At 41.9% G+C, this 19259-nt stretch overlaps 1 pseudogene; it reads left to right on the top strand.

Annotated features, from left to right (window-relative positions):
- On the top strand, positions 259–920 carry RPS7P10 (ribosomal protein S7 pseudogene 10; annotated as a pseudogene).

Below are 19259 nucleotides of genomic sequence, written 5' to 3'. Positions count from 1 at the left end.
ATTAGTGGCTCTCAAACTTTACCTTGCAATAGAATCACCCGGAGTGCTTCTTAAAGCAAGGACTACTTGGCCGTATCCCTGAAATTCTGATTCAGCAGGTCCAGGACAGGTCCAAGATTCTGCATTGCTAACAAACACCCAGGTGATGCTGATGCTGCTGTCCGAGGACCACACTTTAAGAACCACCAATATAAGTTAATGTCTTAAATTCTCACCCAAATAACCATAAAACTACTTTCAGTTCTAGTTAAAGAAGACCTCTTCCTAAGCCGGCGCTCGGCGAGTTCTCCCAGGAGAAGGCCATGTTCAGTTCGAGCGCCAAGATCGTGAAGCCCAATGATGAGAAGCCGGACGAGTTCGAGTCCGGCATCTCCCAGGCTCTTCTGGAGCTGGAGATGAACTCGGACCTCAAAGCTCAGCTCAGGGAGCTGAATATTACGGCAGCCAAGGAAATTGAACTTGGTGGTGGTCGGAAAGCTATCATAATCTTTGTTCCCATTCCTCAACTGAAATCTTTCCAGAAAATTCAAGTCCGGCTAGTACGCGAATTGGAGAAAAAGTTCAGTGGGAAGCATGTCGTCTTTATCGTTCAGAGAAGAATTCTGCCTAAGCCAACTCGAAAAAGCCGTACAAAAAATAAGCAAAAGCGTCCCAGGAGCCATACTCTGACAGCTGTGCACGATGCCATCCTTGAGGACTTGGTCTTCCCAAGCGAAATTGTGGGCAAGAGAATCCGCGTGAAACTAGATGGCAGCCGGCTCATAAAGGTTCATTTGGACAAAGCACAGCAGAACAATGTGGAACACAAGGTTGAAACTTTTTCTGGTGTCTATAAGAAGCTCACGGGCAAGGATGTTAATTTTGAATTCCCAGAGTTTCAATTACAAACAAAAATGACTACATAAAAATATATATTCACACACATTTATCTTCTCTCTTTTCTGATACTCTGTTAAAATACAAACGTAAGTAATAATGAGATCAGGAGAGACACATCAGCAGGTGAGAAATTACAAAATTCTGGAAGAAAGCAGTTGGAATAGTGGTAGCAGAAGTGCACAGCGAAGAAAAACGCAGGTTTCTTACAAAATAATACGGATACTGGATTACTTCTGACAGAAACCCAGACAGGATCAGAATCCATCTAAGATGTGTGACATCAGACTAAGAAGGATTCAAGGATTGGGGAAGGCAGAGAAAGTAGCACAAAAAATTATCAGTGAAATACTCAAGAAAGTAATTTGGCTTCAAGTACCTTAGCATCTACTTGGAGAGAGATATATACAAGTAAAGACAATTATCAAACTCAGGCAATCTGGGTAATTCGGAATGTTGGGAGTGATTTTATGAAAAAAAAATAATTTGACCTAATATTTAAAAATATATGTTATATGGGTAGTGTATGTTTCTTAAAGTTGTTTTTTAATGCTTCACCTTCCAAAGTATTTTGTATCATTGATGAGTATTAAGGTTAGGTTACAAAACTTACTGAATTGCTAAGGAGAATTACTAATTTTAAGTATTTGATTTAAAAATTAGGATTTGAGGCCGGGCGCGGTGGCTCACGCCTGTAATCCCACCACTCTGGGAGGCCGAGGCGGGCAGATCACGAGGTCAGGAGATCGAGACCATCCTGGCTAACATGGTGAAACCCCATCTCTACTAAAAATACAAAAAAAATTAGCTGGGTGTGGTGGCGGGCACCTGTAGTCCCAGCTACTGGGGAGGCAGGAGAATGGCGTGAACCCGGGAGGCGGAGCTTGCAGTGAGCCGAGATCGCGCCACTGTACTCCAGCCGGGGCAACAGAGCGAGACTCCATCTCAAAAAAAAAAAATTAGGATTTGAGATGTAATCATAGCTTCCATAGGCAAGCAAGAAAAGTAGATAATAGAAGAAATATTTTATTAGCAAAAGATATTCAAGTAATGTGTATATATTCAAAGCAATGTATTTTTACTCCAAAGACCATAAAGTCCAAAAACCACCTGAGCCATACTATACCCTTGTAGATGTTTGGTATTAGGAAAGATTCAAAATAGGCCAGGCGTGGTGGCTTACGCCTGTAATCCCAGCACTTTGGGAGGCCCAGGCAGGCGGATCACGAGGTCAGGAGATCGAGACCATCCTGGCTAACATGGTGAAACCCCGTCTCTACTAAAAACACAAAAAATTAGCTGGGCGTGGTGGCGGGCGCCTGTAGTCCCAGCTACTCGGGAGGCTGAGGCAGGAGAATGGTGTGAACCCAGGAGGCGGAGCTTGCAGTGAGCTGAGACCGTGCCACTGGCCTCCAGCATGGGAGACAGAGTGAGACTCCATCTCAAAAAAAAAAAAAAAAAAAAAAGATTCACAATAAATTTGTCAACCTATAACTAGAAGGAAAAAAATTAAAGAATTAACTTTAAAGTATTCATAATAAGATATTTAGTTGTACTGTTGTACTTGGGTGTTTATATTTCCTTAATTCTTGCTCTAAATCATATATCATTCTTATACAACAGTGGAGGAACATTTAAAATATTCCTCCCTTACATTTCACAAATAAATGAAGGAGACTCAGAGGTATTAAATTAATCCATTGATTGTTGTGCTCTTATTTCAATAAAGATTTTAGTTTAAAGAGAAAATTTAACAGCAATTAGGTTTTTACAAGGTGATATACAATTAAATTTAGCTTATTTTAAAAGAAACCTTTGTGTAGTGAAGGTTGGCAACACTCTGGTGATAAACACCCAAATTGCACTGCTTCTTAAGAAAAAATTAATAAAAGAGTGGGGCATGGTGGCTCACGCCTGTAATCCCAGCACTTTGGGAGGCCAAGACAGGCAGATCTCTTGAGGTCAGGAGTTTGAGACCAGCCTGGGCAACATGATGAAACCCTGTCTCCACTAAAAATACAATAAATTTAGCTGGGTGTGGTGGCGGCTGCCTGTAACCCCAGCTACTCGGGAGGCTGAGGCAGGAGAATTGCTTGAACCCAGGAGGCGGAGATTGCAGTAAGCCAAGATTGCGCCACTGCACTCCAGCCTAGGCAACAGAGGAAGACTCCATCTCAAAAAAAAAAAAAAAAGAAAAGAAAAAGAAAGAGAAAGAAAAAGAATAAGAAAAAATTAATAAAAGTTTCATGTGTGCTAGTTTTACAAATGCAAAACGTAAGTGACGAGAAATGTTGTATGATAATTGTAATCAATTCTCCATCTTCATGGGTTTTTCTCTCCCCTGAGGACATTTTCTTAGTCATCTACATGATCAGCACGCTTTTTACACATTTTAGGAAAAAATAAGCAGAAAGTACATAACACCTTTTTTTTGAAGTTTCAAAGTCCTGGGGCATTTGATTATCATCCCATTTCTACCCTTCTTGCTTTTTCTTCCCCACTCTCTCGTGCAGCTTCTACTTCTGCCAGTGTTGTAGTGCGACACACAGGTACAATCGTTGGTGTCCTCTGTTCTTCGGAATTTATTTTGAGAAATCAGATAGATTTTCTGGTTAGACATTTCCCAAGACAGCTTGTTTTTCTTTCATTTTTCTCAATAAAAGACCAAACTACCTCACATATTTGGGCATTTATGTCCATAGTTTGAAGCGCCTACCCACTGGAGCACAACTCTTATTTCACGTGGCTCCCCAACATATCTGTTCATCAGAATTGAATTCGTTGCCTTCGAGCATTTTGAATATTTTCTATTTCCCTCCTATCTCTTGGTATTTCTGTTGGGTTGAATACAGATGAGACGCTTGTGTGCTGGTGCCACCTATTGTTAGCAAAGTAGATGTGACTATGATGCTTGCTAACGAGACTACACATTGAACTAATACTGACTCTGACTACAAAACGGCAAAACGATAGAACAAAAATCTTATTTTTAATCTATTATAAAAGCACTACTGGAGTAGATGAAGATACTAAGTAGTTATATTTTATCTTTATTTTTATTTAATATGTACAAAGACTGGCTGTCTTTACATGGTGGCTCACACCTGTAATTCCAGCACTTTGGGAGGCCAAGGCAGCAGGATCACTTGAGCCCAGGAGTTTGAGACCTGCCTGGGCAACACAGCAAGACCTCATCTCTATTAAAACAAAAAAAAATTTATTTAAAAAATGTTTTAAAAAAGATTTATGAAGACTATTTTCAGTTTTTCCATTTTCAGTTGGACTAATTATATGACAATAGTGAGCATAAACACATATTCCAAGCACAGAAAAGCAATTAAAATTCAAATAGGCTGAGTGCGGTGGCTCAGGCCTGTAATCCCAGCACTTTGGGAGGCCCAGGCAGGCAGATCACGAGGTCAGGAGATCGAGACCATCCTGGCTAACATGGTGAAACCCCGTCTCTACTAAAAGTACAAAATAAAATTAGCCAGGCATGGTGGCGGGCGCCTGTAGTCCCAGCTACTCAGGAGGCTGAGGCAGGAGAATGGCGTGAACCCGGGAGGCGGAGCTTGCAGTGAGCTGAGATCGCGCCACTGCACTCCAGCCTAGGCTGCAGAGGGAGACTCTGTCTCAAAAAAAAAAAAAGAAAAAAAAAGCTAAGTAATTAAGTGTATCACGTATGTATAGACAAAATTTTCAATGTTGTAGTCAATTCAAAAACATATAAGGCATTTTGTATTGGTATCAAGTTGTCAACTATGATAACATACTTTGATAATTTTTTCATTTAAACCCAAAAAGTTGGCTCAACATTTTTTTTTTAATTTATAAAGAAAAGAGGTTTATTTAGCTCATGGTTTTTCAGGCTGCGAAGTTCAAGGGGCATCGGCTCAGCTCTAGTGCTACTCACAGCAGGGTGGAAAGTTGAAGGCAAAGCAGACACATGCAAAGGGGGATATGCACTTTCAAAGATATTGTTTAAAAATAAATCTTCTCTTCATGGCCCCTTTCAAAATTTAAACAAAGTAAAACATCCATTAAAACATGTTTTCATTCTTATTCTTCACACCCAGGAACTGAAAACGTTAAAGGGTTAGAAAATAAGAATTGGCGGGGCACGGTGGCTTACGCCTGTAATCCCAGCACTTTGGGAGGCCAAGGCGGGCAGATCACGAGGTCAAGAGATCAAGACCATCCTGGCCAACATGGTGAAATCCCCATCTCTACTAAAAATACAAAAATTAGCTGAGCATGCTGGTGTGTGCCTGTAGTCCCAGCTACTTGGGAGGCTGAGGCAGGAGAATGGCTTGAACCCAGGAGGTGGAGGTTGCAGTGAGCCGAGATCATGCCGCTACACTCCAGCTGGGCAACGGAGCAAGACTCCGTCTCAAATTTTAAAAAAAGGTTAGAAAAATAAGAATCATGAGGAAAGATGAAAGGCACTAATTATTTACAATTTTCTGTGGTCCTTTCCACTTTGGGTTCCATGAGAATTAACAACAGGATTGTCAGAGAACAGTAACCAGCTTCTTATAGACAGTGCCTGACACAGTCCTGAGCAACCAATCCTGGAAACAACATGGAAACCTCTCACATTCAGGGTGTCACTGAGGCCAGCTTCCCACTCAGAGTAGGGGTGCCTTTTGAAATATCCTCAACAAATGGCCAATCAGATTTTTCTTGAACATTTCCTGAGTGGAAAATGTAAGGCCTCCCAATGAAGCCCATTCCATTTTGGGCAACCATTGGGGAAATCATAGTCAAATTACATATAACTAGAAATGTCTTTTACTTGATTAGAAGGACTTAATTATAGCAGGTAAAAGTATTTTTCCAGTTCAATGGCTGCCTGGAAAGCCCTGTAATCTGTCCTATCCAAATTTTTGTGTAAATATATTATACAACATTTCAATGACCCATTAGAAAATTTTAAATCCCCCAATAATGAGACATCCTTCAATCAAATACTTCTTTCAATTAGGCCCTGAGGGTGATACATACTTCTTTCCCTAGAATCCTTAAGTCTTTTCTTACCCTATTAATGTTTTTCCTTTTTGTATACCTTTTCCTCTTTAGGCAGTTATGCTTAGTAAATGCTAATGCTTTTGTTTCTGTGTCTCCCAATACAATAAATTTACTTCAAATGTGGATAATATAGCATTTATTTATTTTTATTTATTTATTTATTTATTTATTTTTTTTTTGAGACAGAGTCTTGCTCTGTCGCCCAGGCTGGAGTGCAGTGGCACGATCTCGGCTCACTGCAAGCTCTGCCTCCTGAGTTCAAGCCATTCTCCTGCCTCAGCCTCCCGAGTAGCTGGGACTACAGGCGTCCACCACCACGCCTGGCTAATATTTTGTATTTTTTAGTAGAGACGGGGTTTCAGCATGTTAGCCAGGATGGTCTCGATCTCCTGACCTCGTGATCCACCCACCTCAGCCTTCCAAAGTGCAGGGATTACAGGCGTGAGCCACCGCACCCAGCCAATAATATAGTATTTCTATAGTATAAAAAGAGCTCGTCATCCCCTTTCTTTGTAAACTTCATTCTTTAGTTAATACTCTTCATCTCTGAGCCTAAGAACCTAACCCTGACTGCTCTTCAAAATTCCAAAAATGCATTTTCACTACCTGCTGGACTTCCCTACATCATTATTACAAAAATACTTCAGAGGCCAGGTGCCATTGCTCATGCCTGTAATCTCAACACTCTGGGAGGCCGAGGCAGGCAGATCACCTGTGGTCAGGAGTTTGAGACCAGCCTGGGCCAACATGGTGAAACCCCATCTCTACTACAAATACAAAAATTAGCCGGGTATGGTGGCGGGCACCTGTAGTACTAGCTACTCAGGTGGCTGAGGCAGGAGAATCACTTAAACCCGGGAGGCAGAGGTGGCAGTGAGCCAAGATCACACCACTGCACTCCAGCCTGGGCCACAGAGCAAGACTCTGATTACAAAAAATAATAATAATAAGCTTCAGATACCACTAGACCAAAATGAAGTTGTCACTCTCCCTTCTTCACCCCATCTCTTCTCCCTTCATAAAGCTGCTCCTCCCTGGGCCCTTCCTCGTTCATGGCAAAGCAATGCCAAGATTCTAATTGCTCCGTGGTTTCCCTCATCTTCAACATCCCATAACCTGCCAGGACCTTTTGATTCTACCTCTACCTTATGCCTCCGGGCTCCCCATTCACCACATCCTCTGCTCCTGTCCTCAGTCAACTCTTCATTTTTGGACTCTTAGACCATTTCAACAGCCTTCTAACTGATCTCCTAATCCTCCAATTAGAAACTTTGGTGATTCGCCTCTAAACATAGAATTCAAAGCACAGTGCTTCACTCTTGGATCTTTAAACGTCTTTTCAGCCTTATCTTGCATGACACTTCTCTTGAACCACACTCAACAGTTGTTGGTGTTCTCCCAAAATATGGTCTATTCTGTCTTGCCTCAGCAGCTTTGCTCAAGTAGCTCTAGTGGTAACGTCTTTTGAGGAATGTCTACTATCGGTGTACTTGCCACTTTTGAATTCCCAACACAAACTCTATTACCTCTTCTAAGAACACTCCCAGTCATAATTAATCCCTTCTTTCTCAAATATATCCCAAACACTTTGAACCTTTCTTGCAGCATTTATCCCATTTTACCTTATGTAAGAGTTGTTTATATATTTCTCCCAAAACTGCAAACTTCTTGAAAGCAGGGACTGTCTTATTTATTTCTGTATCATCCACTCATGGTAGCAAAATCCTTTGTTCATAGTGGGCATATTATAAATATTTGTAATAGGAATGACCAAAAGTCTCATTGAAATCAGGGTAGATTAACCAGTAACATGAGCCAACCCTTTAAGAAATGTTAAGAGATGTCCTTCCTGTTTTCTTAATTTGTTTCTATGTCTATATATTGGTTGATAAGATACTGTACATTGCTACCATGTACTCTGGAAATGAGTAAGACAGGATGGAAGATTTAAGAAAACTGGCTCAAGCAAACCTTGGTTGACATCAGGCACAAAGAACTTTACAAACCTGCTCTACAGTTTGTCCTCAAAATGCTGCATTCGAGTTGTTTTGTTCATAAATGATGAAATTTCATAAAGTACTGATAATCAAATGGGGAAACGTAAATGTCCTTTGGAAGTTCTTTGATCACATAATGTATTTCTTCCTTGCTTTGGGGCTCAAAGAATGAGGATGACAGAGAGACTGAATGGAAAATGGAATGGTGAGGGCAGAGAGAGAAGAAGCAAGTGGTAGGAAAGAGTGGAGGGAGAAAATAAAAGGCACAAAAAGCAACTTAAAAGGACCAGAAGTGATTTATGACCCGTTTGGTGTCTAGTGTGCTCATCACTCTGCCCTCTGGTCCCAGACTGTCTTTGATCTTCCTCACGGCTCATCCCATCTGCTGCCTGGAGGAGCTGGAAGGACCAAGGGTCAGAGTAATGTTATTTCTTCTCTTGTTAAACCTCACGCTCTCCTCTCTCTGCTGTCCTGCTTCCTTACTACTTGTATCAGGGCTGGAATCAATGACCTGCCTGTATAGTCTGTATATATATTTGAGGGAACTGTTGTGGGTCGAACTGTGTCCTCCAAAAACATATGCTCAAGTTATAACCCCTGGTACCAGTGAATGTGACCTTATTTGGAAATGAGTCAGATGTAATCCACTTTGCTGATGCAGTCAAGCCAAGATGAGGTCCTACTGGATTAAAATGGACCTTAATCCAGCGATTGGCATTTTTTTTCTTTCTAATCTTTTTTTGAATCTTTTTTTTTAATTTCAACTTATATGTTAGATACAGGGGGTCCATGTGCAGGTTTATTACATGTGTATTTTGCACTCAGGTAGTGATGATAGTACCCGATGGGTAGTTTTTCAACCCACACCTCCCTCCCTCCCGTGTCTGGTGGTCCACAGTGTCTGTTGTTCCCATGTTTATGTCCATGTGTCCTAAATGTTTAGCTCCCACTTATAAGTGAGAACATGTGGTATTTGGTTTTCTGTTCCTGTGTTAATTCGCTTACAATTATAGCCTCCAGCTCCATCCAGTGACGGGTATCTTTTTAAGAGAAAGGAGAAGGAGATTGGGCACAGACACACAGAGAAGGCAGCCCTCTGCTGAGGGAGGCAGGGACTGGAGCGATGCAGCTTAGGCCAGGCAAGCGCCAGCGAGGGCCAGTAACCTGCAGAGCTGGCAAGAGGCAGGGAGGTACGCGTCCCTCGAGCCCTCAGAGAGCCCTGCTGACACTTTGACTTCAGACTTCTGGCCTCCAGCACTGTGAGAAAATACATACCTGTCGCTTTAAGCCACCCAGTGTGTGGTGATTTGTGTGGCAACCCTAAGAAACTGATACAGGGACTTAAGGATGTTGAGTATTCAGAGGAGATCTTAGACCACAGCATAAAGCCATACAAGTTTCTCAGCTCCTGAGATAGATGTTAATCCATTTGGCCCAGATTTCTAAACAATGTGGTTTGCTCTACTTAGAACATATTTTGTAATATTAAGTTCTGGCTTTGCAATTTCATTTTATTAATGTTTAAATCTCAACCAGAACAATGAAGCTGTCACTGAAGAAGAGAAGAAAATAGAAGAGTCAGCAAATGTCTGGTATCTAGTAGGTGTTTAATAAAAATACTTGTTGAATGAATGAATGGAAACAATTATCAGAAAATGTCATAAGACATAAAAGCAGAACCTCTGATCCTGATCCCTGAGCACAAAAGTAAGATTTCACAGGCTGAGCTGAGTAACTCAAGAGCAGATGTCTACCACAGGCGGAGCCACAAAATCTAAGAGTAGAGCACCCACCATAAAAGGTATATAAAGAAGTAGACTAGGCTACAGCACTGCAGAAAGCACTATATGCTCAGGTGGATAGAATGTTTTCCTGAGCGGCTGGGTTCTAGGAAGGATTGGCGGGGTAAGGTGGTGTGTACCCACTGCTCATAGAAAATGTGAGTCAAAAATATGGGTTATAATGTGAACAAGTAATGTTTCATCTTTCTTTGTTTTTCCCCGTACTTTACCTTTTCATCATTTGTGTGTTGCCTTTCTTTCTTTTGAGACAGTGTCTCTCTGCTGCCCAGATTGGAGTAGAGTGGCGTGATCTCCAGCCTCAGCCTCCCAGGTAGCTGGGATTACAGGTGTGCACCACCAAGCCCAGCTAATTTTTTTGTATTTTTAGTAGATACAGGGTTTCACCATGTTGCCCAGGCTGGTCTTGAACTCCAGAGCTCAAAGTAACCCACCCACTTTGGCCTCCCAAAGTGCTGGGATTACAGGTGTGAGCCACCACGCCCAGCCGTAAGTTGCCTTTCAATAGACAGAAGATGTATTAATTGTCAGAGGCTCTGAGGTACTGAGCCATTCATTATCCCTGGCCAACCATGAGAATCTCTCCCTCCCCTGTACACAAAGACCCTTACTGCCCAGTCTAAACCTGCCCATTCCATTAGCTTCCTACTCCAGTTTACATGCTGTCATGAGAGCAACCGCTGCCTAGTTAAACATTCTTCAGAACTTCCAGCCACCACTGGAATCAAGCTTTCATCCTTTCTGTCTCCCTGAGTAGCGGCACTGTCCAGTAGAACTTTCCGTGGTGATGGAAATGTTCTGTATCTGTGCCATTCAATGCAGCAGGCACTGGCCACATGTGGTCATTGATCACTTAAAATGTAGCTAGTGAGACTACTGAACTTGATTTAAGCTTTCCATTTAATTTTAATGAATTAGAATTTAAAAAGCCACAAGTGGCTAGTGCCTACTCTACTGGACAGCGCAGCTTTTAACTATTTTTGAGGAAACTCTAGTCTTTTTCATTGCTTCCTTACCCTGACTCTGGTCTAACCAGAGACAGTTCACAGCCATTTATCTACAGACACTCTGTCCATTGGCCTTGAAATCTGCAGAATCTCCCAGGCATCAGAGAGATTGCCTGCCTCTATGCTGCCTCTGAAGTGGCAAATACTTGGGGAATTAATGAAGTTGCAAAGAAACCCACAACCCAGTCGTTTGGATAATCCATTGCTGAAAGGAATTCTATCACAAGAATGAATTAACCAGGCTCCACCTGGAATTTTCATCTGGTATTTCCAGTGATCTATGATCATGTCCGTCAGGTGGCATTTCTTAACTGTGCTTTTCTAGACACCCTGTAAAAAAATGAAAAAGGTATTGACCGGGAGGGGCCTTCCATCTAATTGGGAAAAAATCCATCATTCACAAAGAAATAATTTACATGTAAAAATCAGATGTTTAGGATATATTTATGTGTCATCTTACTTTTGCTTATTTGTTTCATCTCCTACTGTATATGTCACCTGCCTAAGGTGAAAACTACTCACACCTCCTCCATTCTCCTCCATTCTCAGTCTAAACTCTTGCTACTTGAAGTGGTCCTCAGACTAGCAGCATCAGAAACTCTTGAGAGCTTCTTAGAAATGCCAGCTCCACTTTATTCCTACAGAACCTGAAATTACATTTGAACATGGTGCCCAAGTTATTTTGTTTGCACATTACAGTATTGAAAAGCACTGATCTAAACTAGTCAGAATTTTCCACACTGATTCCAGTAAATATCTGTGCTTATTAGAAAGATAGGCTGGTCCTCAGCTGTACTGTATTTAATGGAATGTTTTAGTTATTTGTAAAAAGCTCATCAACTAGCTAATTTGCTGTAACTTGAATTTGAAAAGTAGTATGTTGTTATGGGAAGGGTGCTAAATTGATACGAGGAAACCTGAATTTTCTGTTTTTGACTCTGTCATTGTCTGTTGGGCAAGCCATTATTTTTGTTCAGTTTCAGTTATTTTGGTTTTGTTTTTAATTATTATTCATTTAAATATATAACATGAGGTTTTTCTACTAATTGCTCCCAAACTGGGCTTCGCAGCTCTTTAGAATTTTACAAAACAGGAATGATAAGACCTCAAACAACTTTTTGTATATAAAAAAAGCCTGACATTGGAATTCTGCCTTTAAGCATGATAAGGTTACCCAGAATTTGCACTTTAGCTACCACTTTAGTCTTCCTTGCTGCCCCAGATTAAAGTCAAGATTTAAGCTGTCTCAGACATGTGAGAAGTTCTCTCATTTTTAAAGACTTCCAGAATTCACATGGAACTGATATTCAACAGTCTTGACTGTAAATGAACCTAAACCCCTCGATCTTTAAGCTGTCTTTTCAGCCTGTGTCCTTGCAGTCAGTGGAGGGATGCAAGTCACCCTTTTCTGAAAAGAGCCTTTTATATAGACCTTACCAGGGATTAGTTGTCAGCTCCGGGCCAGACCCTCCAGGAATGGTACACAGGCTACTTGTCGGGGTTGTCATGAAAGGAGGAAGTAAAATATGACAAAGGACAAAAGTATTCACTGCACAGTATTGCCTAGGGTCAAAGGCCTTTCCAGTCAAAGACAAACAAAAAAGATGGACACTTTTTTCCTTTGCTCACACTTTTGTGTGGCTTATTTCTTTCTTGGCCTTTACTTTCAATGTGAAGCCTTTTTTTCCTCTTTTTTTTTTTTTTTTTTTTTTCCTGTTTGGTTTCAGTGACTCCATACAGTCACTCTTTTGTAAAATCGAAAGCAGATCTATCCCCGATAGGGATTCCTGAAAATTTTCCCATCCCTCAATATTCTAGGGACATAGTAAAGGTTATATTTAGATGCCACACTGCATTTCAGGGAAAATGTGATTTTCCTTTAAGGGTTTGCTTCCACATCTCCCACTTGCACCAAATACACTTTCAAGTTAATAAAAGCTCTACCTGCTGAGGCAGCAAATCAGGCTATAATTAAAAGGGAGGAAACATTTTACACAAGAAAATGTGTGGTTTGGTTTAAGCGTAAATATGAAAAAAAGGCATGAAAGCTGATAACAAGATATAATTTGTATTCGTGGCTTTTATTTATTGAACAAACTGTTAGAAGAAAACTTGCTTTAATTATTAACTTACTATATTCTAATAAGTCTTTAATGTTTCACATAGCTACTGCATTGGAGCTTGTAAAAATAACTTTAAATTCCAATGTCAAGTGGAGCATGAAGATTTGGTTTCATTTTCAAAACTGCTTTGCTGAGAAATATACCCTAAAAAGCAATTCTCATTTTACTTCCTTACAGCTCCAACAGCTGCAGGATGAATTATAAAATGTATTTAACCCAATCTGAAAGTTAGAATTTTGATCTCTGAAGAAAGTATTTTTGAAGACCCTCGCACATGCCAAAAAAAGGATTTAGAACTTTGATAAGGCTTCAGAAAGAAGCACTGTGAAATTTTGACAAAGAGCTACCTTCTTTTTTTTTCTTTTTTTTTCCAAGAATGCTTCAGATCTATACTATACGATATAATACTGTATTATATATGGATGAATAGTACTTTACTTTATTCTTGAATTTTTCATCCTTCTGGGCACACTGTATTACCATAGACAAAAAGGTATTTTATACCAACAAATTCAAATAAGCATTTATTTGTTCCTCAAATAAGCGAATGTTAGACACATACATATACATCAGCATATATATTTATGTTTTCTGAATATTCATTCAGAATGATTATGCTTTCAATCACTGTGTATCTTTCTGAAGCTGCAGACAGCTCTTTGAGGAGTGGCTGGTTAATAAGGACCCACAGCCATGGTGATTTTTCAAAGCCTGTCCCAGGGGAACATCACAAATCTCTAGGGAAGGATGGAAATGGTTTACAGCACCTTCTGTATGGACTGGTGGCCTTTAGGATGCAGAGCTGCCTTCCCATCCAATACTGGCAGCCTTAAGATAGGGCTAATGTCATGTCCTTATCTGCACTTACAGTGCTGTGTCATTCATCATTGCCATCATCTTTGGAAAAAAGTCACAATACCGTGTGTCAGTATGTGTTTCTCCACAGCTATGATAATTTCGGTATTTGCACTAGGGGGAAATATACTTAGACAATTCTTATAATAAAAAATTTTGCATGTGCACATGTGCTATCTCACTGCTTTTCTCCTTTTACTTTATTAAAAGATTTTTAATGAAATTCGTGAGCACTATGTTCTGCTTAAATAATATCTTAGGTTATTGTGCTTCTCAATCTATACATTTGAATGAGAAATTAAATGTTTCTTACAAAATGATTGTAATACATTCTGATATCCTTTGAACTGAAATATAGAAAATATGTAACAAAAGATGTGTGCACCATCTAAATACACCTATAGATTTGTTTCTGCTCTCTAATTGTTTAGTATTATAATGTCCCCTTTCCTAAGTTCTCCTGTTCCATTAGTCTCATCTAATTCCATTTTAAATTTAACACTTTAAATCAACACATATACTAATATCTTTATTAATCAATCAACCAATAAATAATTCTTAAAAATTATGAAGAGAGCTACCAAAAATCTAGAAAACATGTTGCAAACTCTCAAGAAGATAATATCCTAACTGAAAAATATGACAATCCAAAAATTATTGGCCGGGCGCCGTGGCTCATGCCTATAATCCCAGAACTTTGGGAGGCCAAGGAGGGTGGATCACCTGAGGTCAGGAGTTCAAGACCAGCCTGGCCAACATGGTGGAATCCCCTCTCTATTAAAAATACAAAAAAATTAGCCATGTGTGGTGGCAGGTGCCTGTAATCCCAGCTACTCGGGAAGCTGAGGCAGGAGAATTGCTTGAACCGAGGAGACAGAGGTTGCTGTGAGCCGAGATCCCCCCATTGCACTCCAGCCTGGGCAAGAAGCACAGGACTCCGTCTCAAAAAAATAAATAAATAAAACAAAATGATAAAAGTCTACATATTTTAAAATATCTTTATATCAGCTTCTTTACCAAAAAATATTTGAGACATTTGAATAAACGCCTAAAAAAGGAATTGTTTTTATTTTTTAGCAAGAAATTGTGGTGTCGCAGGAAAACAAAGGTAGAAAACTAGAATAATGCAGATCAGAAAGCCCACACAATTACTAGACATGAGCCACAGAGTCAGAACTGAGGAAAACATGATCACAACCAAGATGCAGAGTGTCCAAAAGAGCAGGCTGGGTACAAGGTGAGGGGTCTTTTATTATCACTAGAACTAAGAGAAACTTCCCCTATTGATTCTTATCAGGGCATACAATATGGCTTACTGAACTAAAGCCTCAACAACAGTCTTTTAATAATATAATATTGGGTTTCATTTTGCTGTACAATGTTCTTCAAAGTGATGGCAATGATAGACAGTAAATAATTGAGAGCTGCATTGGAGAATTTACATAGGGAATATTAATAGATAGCCAGTGTATTAGTCAAGGTAATCCATGCCAGCTGCTGTGACAACCAACCACAAAAATCTCAGTCTCTTAACACAAGAAAGTCAGTGAAATGTAGATTGTGTGTTTCTCCTCAGCAGCTCTCCGTCAACAAGAGACCTACCCTAGCTATGCCTGCTGGCATGCATGGCCTCTAAGAGCCCTGCAGAAGATGAAGAGGCGGGGCATGGAGGAAGGTACATTGGCTCTTAGCTACTTCGGCTGAGAATGGACACAGTCAGCTCTCCTCACATGCCATTGGCCAGAGTGTGAGAACATGGCCACACCTCACTGCAGGGGAAGCTGGGAAATATATCTTCCGTGTGCCCCAGAAAAAGAAAATAAAATGAGATTTGGTGAATGTATAACACTGTCTCTGCCACAACTGAGAATGCCAGGCTGTGGAGATTGGATGTGATTGAAAATGCACTAGCCTGGGGTTCTTAAAGGGGAGTGTCATACCACATGGGATAAACTAATGGTATGAGAACAAAATATTAAAACTTCTACGCATTAATTTTAATCAAACAACAAATATTTACATTATATATATATAATATATTACATATATATTATATATATATTTTAAGAACTATAGGCTGGGCATGGTGGCTCATACCTGTAATCCCAGCACTTTGGGAGGCTGAGGTGGGTGGATCGCCTGAGGTCAGGAGTTTGAGACTAGCCTGGCCAACATGATGAAACCCTCTACTAAAAATACAAAAATTACCTGGGCATGGTGGTGGGTGCCTGTAATCCCAGCTACTCACGAAGCTGAGGCAGGAGAATCGCTTGAACCTGGGAGGCAGAGATTGCAGTTAGCCAAGATCGAGGCATTGCACTCCAGCCTGGGTGACAAGAAGAAAACTCCACCTCAAAAAAAAAAAAAAAAAAAAAGAACTATATCTATATATATTATATAGGCCCTAAGTAAGATGACCTCATGTCATGATATGCAAGACAAAAGAGCGTAAGTTCTGTGACTTGAAGGATTCATGAGAGGTGTCGTTACTTGACCGTGAGCTTTCAATAAATTGTTAAGGGTTGCAGTTTCTGTGCACCCAGTTAGGTGGTTTTACCAGTTATATTATCTAGTGTTAACGAAAATAAGCCTGATGAGAATGGATACCTGGATTTTTTTTCTTTTTTCTTTTGAAACAGAGTTTCACTCTTGTTACCCAGGCTGGAGTGCAATGGCATGATCTTGGCCCACTGCAACCTCTGCCACCCAGGTTCAAGCGATTCTCCTGCCTCAGTCTTCCGAGTAGCTGGGATTACAGGCACCTGCCACCATGCCCGGCTAATTTTTTGTGTTTTTAGTAGAGACAGGGTTTCACCATGTTGGCCAGGCTGGTCTTGAACTCTTGACCTCAGGTGATCCGCCCGCCTCGGCCTCCCAAAGCACCGGGATTACAGACTGAGTCACCGTCCCTGGCCAATATCTGGCTTTAAAAGAGTCCTGCGAAAACTCTACAGACTGATGATGCTAAAATATTAAAATGCCAGTGAACAAGAACAAACTAGCAGGGCTCATGCTTCTGCTCTCCAGCTTTATTATAAGATAGAAACAACTATCTAATCAGACAAAATCAGTCCCCAAAAAAGGTAATTTGAAAAAAATGATTTATATCCACTATCATTAATAATGCGCCTAATCCTAAATGTACATTAAGCCCTAAGATATTAACTATTAATGGTATGAAGCCAGAGTAAGAACTCAATACCACTATCCAAAGCATGAAGACCAGCCTCTACAAATACATTTTTTTCAGGAATATTCAATCCAGTACTTGACAAAATTTTACTCAGCTTGCATATTCATTAGTCCCAAGTGAGAAACTCACAAACCCCATTGAAAAAACAGGAGTTTTATTACAACAGGTTTTTCCCATTGTAATAAAATCACTAAGATAATATTCATTCACTCAAGCAGTAATTACTAAGTGCCTACTGAGGGCTAGGCATTGCTGTAGGCATCACAGATTTAGGGATGCACAGAACATGCAAAACTGACTGCCCTCCTGGAGCTGACATTCTAGGGCAGTGGTTCTCAGCTGAGGGTGATTTTGTTCCCTGGGGGATATTTGGCAACATCTGGAGACATGATATTTGCTTTTCACAGTTGAGGCAGGGAGGAGTGGGGGTGCTACTGGCAGGTGGTATGTGGTGGGTAGAAGCCAGGAATTCCACTAAACACCCTGCAGTTCACAGCACAGCCCCCCACCCCCAACAACAAAAAAAATTCTCTGTCCCTGCGTGTCCACAGTGATGAGACTGAGAAACCACCACCGTTTAATTTTGTAAGAATAAAATGGCTAATGTATCTAGTCTTTACAGTACTCCGGAATAAGTCAGAATGTGGCTATGAAACACTTTTTCATTTCATTCGATGGCGTCAAAGAGTCTGAAGACTTCAGAAGACAAACGCCCCCCAAGTGGAGGACGGAAATGTCATAGGAATACCAAGAGGATATTTCGGGCCTGCAGTCAGAAGTGTGGGGCACCCCAGCAGCACCCTCCCTGCCATGCCTGGCACCCGCCAGGCCCCTATGTGAGAGCAGGTCGGACCGCCCACGCGCAGCACCGCAGCGACTGCCTCCTCACCCAGCGTGCGACTGTGTCCGGAATTGGTGGGTTGTCTGACTTCAAGAATGAAGCCACAGACCCTCGCGGTGAGTATTAGTTCTTAAAGATCAGGAGTGAAGCTTCAGACTTTGGCGGTGAGTGCTACAGCTCTTAAGGCGGCGCATCTGGAGTTGTTCGTTCCTCCTGGTGGGTTCCTGGTCTCGCTGATTTCAGGAGTGAAGCTGCAGACCTTCCCAGTGAGTGTCACAGCTCATAAAGGTGGTGCATACCCAGAGTGAGCAGCAATCAGACTTATTGCGAACAGCGAAAGAACAAAGCTTACGCAATGTGGAAGGTGACCTGAGCTGGTTGCGGTGATGGGCTCCAGGGGGGCCTGCTTTTATTCCTTTATTTGGCCCCCACCCACGTCCTGCTGATTGGTCCATTTTACAGAGTGCTGATTGGTTCATTTTACAGAGAGCTGATTGGTGCATTTACAAACCTTTAGATAGACACAGAGCACTGATTGGTGCATTTACAATCTTTCAGCTAGATGTAAAAGTTCTCCAAGTCCTCACCGGACCCAGAAGCCTGGAAGGCTTCACCTCTCACGACCCCGGCACCTGGGGCTGCACCTGCTCGACCCACTGGCCGGCCTGCTCCAGGGCCCAGTGCACACTCTTGGGGTCTGGGTGCTTCCTCATTGAGAACCCCGCCCAGGTTCTGGCACAGGTCCGCAGGTTGGGAAGTGGCCCAGCCCTGCCAGCCACCAGCCCGCAGGCCTCAGGCACCCCAGGAAGCCAGGGGACCTCTTGGGCCTGGCGCCCACCCTTAAGAGGCCCTGGGTGGAAACAGATCACACCTCCCGTGCATCCTGTGGCCGTCTCCTGGAAGACGGACCTCCGTGGTCACCACTTCCCCAAGCAGCCCAGAAGACCCTTTCACTTACCTGGCTGGTGCTTCTGCCTAGGGAAGCCCCCAGGCTGAGGTGCCCCCAAACTAGGTACAGCTCTGCAGCGGACCCCACAGTCCCGGTGTCTGGGCTTCACGTGTGAAGCGCCCACCGATGGCAGGAGCTCCTGTGAGACAGCTCTTTGCCTCTGCCAAACACGTCCTGGCCCCTAGGTCTTTGCCCCCATCTGAAGCACTCCCAGGAAACTCTCAACACCCAAAGGTTGCCATGAAGTCCTCACAACTGGAAGAGGTCACTGTGGCTGTGGCCAGAGGAAGTGATGAGGCGAATGAATCAAAGCTGTGGTATCACCCGCCTGTAGGCCAAGCAGGTGGCAGCAGTCACCAACACTCCCGGCCACCAGTCTGCTTGTGTGCAAGGCGCAGGCCTGCCCACCTGGGAGTTACCTGTCATACCTGGCTCCACCCTCCTTGCCAGGTCTCCACTGTCTCTAGCTGGAGACAAGACCATAAGGTCATTGTCTATGAGAGCCACTGAATGGTGACCATCTCAGTGTATCCAAGTCTCGGAAGTGCAAAAGAAACTCAGGGCAACCCAGTCAATTGGAGAAAGAAGCTC

Source organism: Homo sapiens, chromosome 13, assembly GCF_000001405.40.
Source record: "Homo sapiens chromosome 13, GRCh38.p14 Primary Assembly".
NCBI classification, from domain to species: Eukaryota; Metazoa; Chordata; class Mammalia; order Primates; family Hominidae; genus Homo; species Homo sapiens.
This window is presented reverse-complemented; position numbering and strand designations above follow the sequence as displayed.